At 38.0% G+C, this 9,393-nt stretch overlaps 1 protein-coding gene across 2 annotated transcripts in view, besides 1 other annotated feature; it reads left to right on the top strand.

Moving 5' to 3' along the window:
- The window catches only part of CYBB (cytochrome b-245 beta chain), a 33,403-nt gene extending 25,483 nt beyond the window's left edge, over positions 1-7,920 (top strand). For both annotated transcript variants that reach the window (NM_000397.4, XM_047441855.1), the window contains 3 exons: positions 846-992; positions 4,026-4,150; positions 5,250-7,920. In NM_000397.4, coding sequence (NP_000388.2) covers positions 846-992; positions 4,026-4,150; positions 5,250-5,376 — 399 coding nt within the window. In that variant the 3' untranslated portion in view covers positions 5,377-7,920. The remainder of the gene's footprint in view (positions 1-845; positions 993-4,025; positions 4,151-5,249) is intronic.
- Positions 8,199-8,398: an enhancer, noted in NCBI's record as "active region_29520". NCBI's record gives its function as "activates an Ori minimal core promoter by ATAC-STARR-seq in GM12878 lymphoblastoid cells {active_cell/tissue: GM12878}" and the evidence as "EXISTENCE:reporter gene assay evidence [ECO:0000049][PMID:35858748]".

The raw sequence follows: 9,393 nt of genomic DNA on the forward strand, positions 1-9,393 counted from the left end.
TCCTGCTTTTAAAAAAACATTATAGAAAGTGTTTTTCAATGTCTTCACAGGCTTTATAATGATGACTTTAAATGATCTCTTCATGTTCTATTGAGAGGATATTGAATAATTTTTCTTTCATCTTGTGTTAGATACTGAGATTGATTCAATTTCCAGCCGCGCCCCACCCCCTCCACTCACCCAATACTTTTTTTGCAAAGGGAGGAGAGGAGACCTGAAACTCTACTTATGAATATCTCCTCAGGATCAATTCACAGGAGATTTTTTGGTTACCTATAAATTTGGTTTTATTGTGTAATAAAGGGCATCCTAAATAAACCTCAGGCCATTCTAATAACTGTAAAGATAAACTCTAATAGGGACATTAAGCCTACCTTGACTTTTCATTCTCCCTGTACCTCTTTTCCATGTGGAGGAGATGTGCATAGAACCTTATTTTTCCCCTCGGAACTCATGAATGTCTGGCAGTAGCAGCCAGGGAAGAATTTCTGTGGCAATCCCTGCTAGTCTAGATTCCATCAGGCTTTCTGAGAAGAGGTTCGAAGGAAGCCAGAGATTCTGGGAGAGTAAGAGCAGACTCAGAGGGAAATTTGGTGGGCTAATAGTTTTTTCTTAAGTTGTGTATTTCTGAGGTCAAGTTACTTATTTACTGCCCTGCTAGAGTGAAGGCCAGAGCAGGTTCATGTAAACTACCCTGTGAAATGTCCAGAGCCTTCTGAAAATCTATGTTTCTAGGCATTCTGAGCATCAAGAAAAAGTTTAGGTGACAGAAAGTGGAATTCCACATGGTAATGCTGATAGGGCCTGCCAAATATAATCTGCTTCATGATCCACCCCATTTTCAGATCTACTTCTACTGGCTGTGCCGGGACACACATGCCTTTGAGTGGTTTGCAGATCTGCTGCAACTGCTGGAGAGCCAGATGCAGGAAAGGAACAATGCCGGCTTCCTCAGCTACAACATCTACCTCACTGGCTGGGATGAGTCTCAGGTAAGGACAAGACTCCAAGGCTCAGGTCCTTCCCATAGTGTACAGGGCTTACGAACTTCCCCTTGGTTATTGGTGTGTCTTGTGTACTATTTTTTCTAAGTATGTTTAGTGGATTTGGTGATCCGGTCCATTCACTCTCATTTAGTATCGCCACATTATATTTAGACTGCTCAGATTAGAATCAAAGCCAAGGAGCCTGTGAGGGAATAAAAGCCATCACTTTGACATTATTAGAGCAATTCTCCCACCAGGCACTCTGAAACCAGGTGATTGAGATGATGCACAGGGTTATTTTGGGGAAAATTTAGCTTTCTCTTTCTCTCTGTCTCTCTCTCTGTCTCTCTGTCTCTCTCTCTCTGTCTCTGTGTGTGTGTGTGTGTGTGTGTAAAACAGACACTCCCCAACTTAATAATGGTTCAACTTATGATTTTTCAACTTTACAATGAAGTGAAAGCAATATGCATTCAGTAGAAGCCATACTTCAGTACAAGCCATACTTCAGTACTGTATTCAATAAATTACATGTGGTCTTAAACCTTTTATTATAAATAGGGTTCATGTTAGATGATTTTGTGCAATTGTAGGCTAATATAAGTGTTCTGAGCACATTTAAGGTAGTCTAGACTAAACTAACTATGATGTTTATTAAGTTAGATGTATTAAACCCATTTTAGACTTATGGTATTTTCAATTTAGTGATGGTTTTATCAGGATATAACACCATTGTAAGCTGAGGAGCATCTGTTTATATAACATACATAAGCATATAAAGGATTCTGTATATATATATTTTAATATGTATTTATATATGTATCATATATATTTATATGTACTATGTATATATGTATTTATAAAATCATTTAATTTATATGCTTTTGTATGTTTTATAATATACTCACTACATTTATAATTATTATGCATATATATTGCCAGGTATTATTCTTATGTATCTAGTCACATAGATTGTCTAATTTTATCATGTCACCAACCCTATGAAGTAGCTCTTATTATTTTCCACACTTTACAGATGAAAAAACTCAGACCAGGTTAGGTCATTTTCCTAAGAGCACCCAACAAGTAAGTGACAGAGACAGAATGTGCCAGAGCCTGTCCTTTCAGCATCTTGCAGTAGTTCATGATTATCATTTATAAATAAATTACTATATATCTAATGAATGTGATATATATGCATGTATGTGTGTGTGTATGTGTGTGTACAATGAGAGTGCTCTTTCAAAAATGTTTGGAGACCACTATAATAAAGTAGCCAATAGTTCTCAACTGGGACAATTTTGCTCTGCTCCTCCCCAAGACACACACCAGAGACAGTTGGCAATGTAAATATCCTACAATTAAAAAGACAGCCCCCCACAACAAAGAATTATACAGTCCCAAATATCAACAGTGCTGAAATTGACAAACCCTGAAACAAGGTAATGATTCCTGGAGTGGTAACATCTTTGTAAGTAAGCAAACGTTAATGACTTGGCCTGGAAGCAGCATAAGCTATCACCATGAGTGAGGAGCTAAGGCAAGAGTCTCTGCATATTTCTGTCCAGTGTCTCAGCTGGTGTCTTAGTCCATTTGTGCTGCTATAACAAAACACCCAAGACTGGGTAGTTTGTAAAGAACAGAAATTTATTTTCTCAAAGTTCTGGAGGCTGGCAAGTCCAAGATCAAGACACCAACAGGTTTGGTTGTCTAGCAAAGGCTGCATCTTCTGGGTGGGAGAAATACTGTGTTTTCACATGGTGGAAAGAAAAAGGGAAGGCTCGTCAAATACTGTGTGATGACTCTTTTCCAAAGCCCTTAACTCATTCATAAGGGATGATCCTTCATGTCTTAATCACCTTTTTAAGGCTCCACTTCTTAATGCTATCACATAGGCAACATCTGAATTTTGGAGAGGATACATTCAAACTGTAGCAACTGGGCATACATAGACATTGACTCCACAACCCTGGGAATCTTCCATGTGCACCCTGTCACTGTGAAGACTGAATTCCCATTTGGGTTTCAACATATTGTTTATCACAGATTCTCCAAGTCTTAAAGGAATCTTGTAGCAAATATAGATTAGGGAAACATAACGATAAGAATTGTTGCTCCATAAAAAGTGGTTTCAAAATGCCAGTTCTGCAATTTAAAAACAAAACAAAAATGCTTTGATAAAAATAAAACTCAGGAAAAAAATCTATAGTATATAAATTGCTTTACTGTTCTGTTATTTTAAAAGCCATGCACAGGTTTCTTTTTTAAATCAGTTATTTATTTGTATTGAAAAAGTAATTATTTTGCTTTGCAAAACTGATATCTATAGAATTATTAAATTGGAGTGCCCACCTTTCTTAACCTCCTCTATGACCATCATCCATCTAGTGAATTTCAAATCTGATTTGCTTTTTAAAAATAAATTTAATTAACCACTTTTATGAAAAATACCTGTTGCTCAAACTGAAGCCTCCTAGAATGGTAGCAGAAAAACAGTATGTGACTATATACACATATGTGCGTGCACACACACACATACACACACACTAGCTTTAGGCTTGATTTGATGTCTTATGCTACCAAAGTATTGCTGCATTTTAGTCTAAAATTGTTACATCTCTTAGTAATTCTCCCAAAGGAGTGGAAGTATATTAGGGTGGAGAGAAAAAGTCAAACATAGAGCAGAGAGAAAAACAGTGAGACACTATTCATCCATCAATGCCTGACTCAAATACTGCGGCCCTAACCCTTCCCCTATTCTTCCACTTCACCTTCCTTCTTTGTTCTCATTAGGACGCTTGTGCCTCCTTCATGACACACATCATACCCTGTTCGACATATGGGATTATTTATATTTATACTTCGAAGTCTCCCTTTCTAGACTGTAAATTGCTTGAGAGAGATCCAGTTTATTTATCTTTGTTTACCTTTCAGCATCCAGCAGGGTGCCTTGGTTAGAATAGCTTGTGAAGGATGTAAATACATTGTATGTGCTTTTACAGAATGTCTCTTTTTTTTCTGAATTCATGTCCTTTCCTGTAGGCCAATCACTTTGCTGTGCACCATGATGAGGAGAAAGATGTGATCACAGGCCTGAAACAAAAGACTTTGTATGGACGGCCCAACTGGGATAATGAATTCAAGACAATTGCAAGTCAACACCCTAAGTAAGGAGTCTGTCACCAAGATGTTTTTGAGGCTTGCATCTGCCTAAAGCGGCAGCCCCTATACATATCTAAACTTATATATTTTAGAAACTCAAATATGTATATTACTATATAAAGATTGAATTCATGCCCAACAGAAGATTCCAGATATCTTCAACTTTAAGAAGGATCTTTAAATTATACCAAATTACCTGGAGATTAATTAAAAACAAGTATTTCCAGGTCCCCATCTCAGATTTTCTCAACCTGCCTGTCCCAAGTAGGGCCACAGCTTAGTTCTTTTCTTTAGTCACCTAAATTTCATTAGTGTATCTACTTCTTTTAAAGATTCAATATAATTTATACATATTGTTAAGAAGACACTGTCCCCACTTTCAGTTCTAAAAGCTTCTGGGTCTAAAATCTTAAGTTGACAGATGTCTCAAGGTGCTTTCTGCTCTCACTAAAACTTTAGTCATTATAAAACCTTGAGGGGGATCCCTTATCTTGCTAGAACACCTAAGAAACTCAAGAGATCACCATACGTGTACCCTTCAGACTATTGCTTTTTGCACTGTAAGGAGCATACAAAGTGCCTGGGGATCTCTTTAAAATGCAGATACCAATTTAGAAGATTTGAGGTAGGGCCAGGTAATCTGCATTTTTTAAAAAGCTGACGCCAAGGCTACTGATCAGAAACCACACTTTGAACAGGGCTTCAGACTCTAAAATTTAGAGAAATGAAGCCACACTGAGTGGTTGGCATAGTTAGCTTGTTCCTAATTTCAAGATGCCAGGGGGCACAGAGCCCTGAAGGAAAGTAGCCCACGGACTCATGAATTCACCACCATTTTCTCTGTGATAGAAGTTTCCAAAAACCTTGGTTGGATTTTACTTTTGCCAGGGAAGTCAACTACCTTTTGAACTATCCAGATGCTCACACAAACAGGCTGAACCACACTCCCTCTGAGCAATATGATCCCTTTGCTATTTGTGGAAAAGAAAAAGGAGCAGAGGGGACTCTGCCCTGGGGCCTCAAATTAACGGGAAATTCACCTACCTGCTTTGTAGACATCTCATCCCAAAGCTTGAAATTGTCTTTTTTTTTCTTTCCCAAAAGTACCAGAATAGGAGTTTTCCTCTGTGGACCTGAAGCCTTGGCTGAAACCCTGAGTAAACAAAGCATCTCCAACTCTGAGTCTGGCCCTCGGGGAGTGCATTTCATTTTCAACAAGGAAAACTTCTAACTTGTCTCTTCCATGAGGAAATAAATGTGGGTTGTGCTGCCAAATGCTCAAATAATGCTAATTGATAATATAAATACCCCCTGCTTAAAAATGGACAAAAAGAAACTATAATGTAATGGTTTTCCCTTAAAGGAATGTCAAAGATTGTTTGATAGTGATAAGTTACATTTATGTGGAGCTCTATGGTTTTGAGAGCACTTTTACAAACATTATTTCATTTTTTTCCTCTCAGTAATGTCAGTGGAAGTTAGGGAAAAGATTCTTGGACTCAATTTTAGAATCAAAAGGGAAAGGATCAAAAGGTTCAGTAACTTCCCTAAGATTATGAAACTGTGACCAGATCTAGCCCATCTTACTCCAGGTTTGATACTCTTTCCACAATACTGAGCTGCCTCAGAATCCTCAAAATCAGTTTTTATATTCCCCAAAAGAAGAAGGAAACCAAGGAGTAGCTATATATTTCTACTTTGTGTCATTTTTGCCATCATTATTATCATACTGAAGGAAATTTTCCAGATCATTAGGACATAATACATGTTGAGAGTGTCTCAACACTTATTAGTGACAGTATTGACATCTGAGCATACTCCAGTTTACTAATACAGCAGGGTAACTGGGCCAGATGTTCTTTCTACAGAAGAATATTGGATTGATTGGAGTTAATGTAATACTCATCATTTACCACTGTGCTTGGCAGAGAGCGGATACTCAAGTAAGTTTTGTTAAATGAATGAATGAATTTAGAACCACACAATGCCAAGATAGAATTAATTTAAAGCCTTAAACAAAATTTATCTAAAGAAATAACTTCTATTACTGTCATAGACCAAAGGAATCTGATTCTCCCTAGGGTCAAGAACAGGCTAAGGATACTAACCAATAGGATTGCCTGAAGGGTTCTGCACATTCTTATTTGAAGCATGAAAAAAGAGGGTTGGAGGTGGAGAATTAACCTCCTGCCATGACTCTGGCTCATCTAGTCCTGCTCCTTGTGCTATAAAATAAATGCAGACTAATTTCCTGCCCAAAGTGGTCTTCTCCAGCTAGCCCTTATGAATATTGAACTTAGGAATTGTGACAAATATGTATCTGATATGGTCATTTGTTTTAAATAACACCCACCCCTTATTTTCCGTAAATACACACACAAAATGGATCGCATCTGTGTGACTAATGGTTTATTTGTATTATATCATCATCATCATCCTAAAATTAACAACCCAGAAACAAAAATCTCTATACAGAGATCAAATTCACACTCAATAGTATGTTCTGAATATATGTTCAAGAGAGAGTCTCTAAATCACTGTTAGTGTGGCCAAGAGCAGGGTTTTCTTTTTGTTCTTAGAACTGCTCCCATTTCTGGGAACTAAAACCAGTTTTATTTGCCCCACCCCTTGGAGCCACAAATGTTTAGAACTCTTCAACTTCGGTAATGAGGAAGAAGGAGAAAGAGCTGGGGGAAGGGCAGAAGACTGGTTTAGGAGGAAAAGGAAATAAGGAGAAAAGAGAATGGGAGAGTGAGAGAAAATAAAAAAGGCAAAAGGGAGAGAGAGGGGAAGGGGGTCTCATATTGGTCATTCCCTGCCCCAGATTTCTTAAAGTTTGATATGTATAGAATATAATTGAAGGAGGTATACACATATTGATGTTGTTTTGATTATCTATGGTATTGAATCTTTTAAAATCTGGTCACAAATTTTGATGCTGAGGGGGATTATTCAAGGGACTAGGATGAACTAAATAAGAACTCAGTTGTTCTTTGTCATACTACTATTCCTTTCGTCTCCCAGAATCCTCAGGGCACTGAGGGTAGGTCTGACAAATAAGGCCTGCTGTGCGAATATAGCCTTTCTGAAATGTACCAGGATGGTTTCTGCTTAGAGACACTTAGGTCCAGCCTGTTCACACTGCACCTCAGGTATCAATTCATCTATTCAACAGATATTTATTGTGTTATTACTATGAGTCAGGCTCTGTTTATTGTTTCAATTCTTTACACCAAAGTATGAACTGGAGAGGGTACCTCAGTTATAAGGAGTCTGAGAATATTGGCCCTTTCTAACCTATGTGCATAATTAAAACCAGCTTCATTTGTTGCTCCGAGAGTGTTTCTCCAAGGTTTTCTATCTTCAAAACCAACTAAGTTATGAAAGTAGAGAGATCTGCCCTGTGTTATCCAGTTATGAGATAAAAAATGAATATAAGAGTGCTTGTCATTATAAAAGTTTCCTTTTTTATTCTCTCAAGCCACCAGCTGCCAGCCACCAGCAGCCAGCTGCCAGCCTAGCTTTTTTTTTTTTTTTTTTTTTTTAGCACTTAGTATTTAGCATTTATTAACAGGTACTCTAAGAATGATGAAGCATTGTTTTTAATCTTAAGACTATGAAGGTTTTTCTTAGTTCTTCTGCTTTTGCAATTGTGTTTGTGAAATTTGAATACTTGCAGGCTTTGTATGTGAATAATTCTAGCGGGGGACCTGGGAGATAATTCCTACGGGGAATTCTTAAAACTGTGCTCAACTATTAAAATGAATGAGCTTTCTTTGTGTCTGTGTTACTGATCTTTGTATTAAAGGGTAAATTCAGCTAGTAACAATTTTCTCTACCCCGGTGGGGTTGAGACACTCTGTGTTTCTGTATATGATATGCCAAACACTTCATGGTTTATGGATTGGGAAGTGAAAGCTGAAGACTAAGTTCTGTGCTGAATACTGTTGATCCTCACAACACTAATATAAGGGACAGGGAGGGCAACTTAATGTCATAGACAGAATTTCAGAAACGAAGAAGCCCCAGTGTGACATCTTTGTTCCACGTCTACTGAACTTTCATGTTCTAACTTCACAATTGAGTATCATCAATTGTGGGCAATATGGGCAATTGTGGGCAATTGTGAGCAATTGTGGGCATATATGCTCATGCTTCTGTGATAGCCCTTGTTCTAAATGAGTCAACCGGTTACGATCTCCACTATTTAGGAAATGCATAGGGGTGTGGGCATGACATGTTCCTGTGGGAGTCAACAGGTGCTGCCATGGAGGGAAAGGACATTACCTAAAATAAATGGCAGTAATAGAAATAGCCAACATTTGGTAAACACCTCCTACTATGCCGAACATTTTACATACACTTTATTTAATCCCTCAGCAACACTACAAGGTAGCCGTTTTATCCTAATTTTGTTGATAAGAAAACAGTCTGAACGAAGATGAATGAGAAGGAAAAGTACCCATAACTATTGGGTGACTATGTCAACATTCAATCCACATCTTTCTGGGGACAAACTCCATGTCCTTTATACTACACTAGCAGATTACACTAGGTATAAAAAATTAAGGATATTTTCTTTCTCTCTCTCTCTCTCTCCTTTTTGTTTGAGACGGAGTTTTGCTCTTGTTGCCCAGGCTGGAGTGCAATGGCACGACCTCAGCTCACCGCAACCTCTGCCACCCGGGTTCAAGCGATTATCCTGCCTCAGCCTCCTGAGTAGTTGGGATTACAGGCATGCGCTACCGCGCCTGGCTAATTTTGTATTTTTAGTAGAGACGGGGTTTCTCCATGTTGGTCAGGCTGGTCTCAAACTCCCAACCTCAGGTGATCCACCGGCCTCAGCCTCCCAAAGTGCTGCGATTACAGGCATGAGTCACCGCACCCGGCCAAAAACTAAGGATATTTTCAAAGCAATTATGCTAGGTACAAATTATGTACCAAGAATAGCTGGGTAACAGTGGTAACATAAATCTCTAGTTTATACCATTTAAGTAGCTTGGTATCTTAGTTTAGAAACACTGGTTAATCTGATTCATGCTCATTTTTACTTTTAAATTATGATAAAATAGAACCTATCAAAAAATGGAATTATTTTGCTTGGAGAAAAGAAGGCTGTAGGGTGACTCAATAATATTTATTAAGTCTACTTTTTCATTTATATTTATTTTATTTATAAACAATTTCTGTCTTTCAGAGAATGGCCAGCTGTTGTCTATAGTTTTGTGTGTGTGTGTGTGTGTGTGTG

Source organism: Homo sapiens, chromosome X (assembly GCF_000001405.40).
Source record: "Homo sapiens chromosome X, GRCh38.p14 Primary Assembly".
Lineage (NCBI taxonomy): Eukaryota > Metazoa > Chordata > Mammalia > Primates > Hominidae > Homo > Homo sapiens.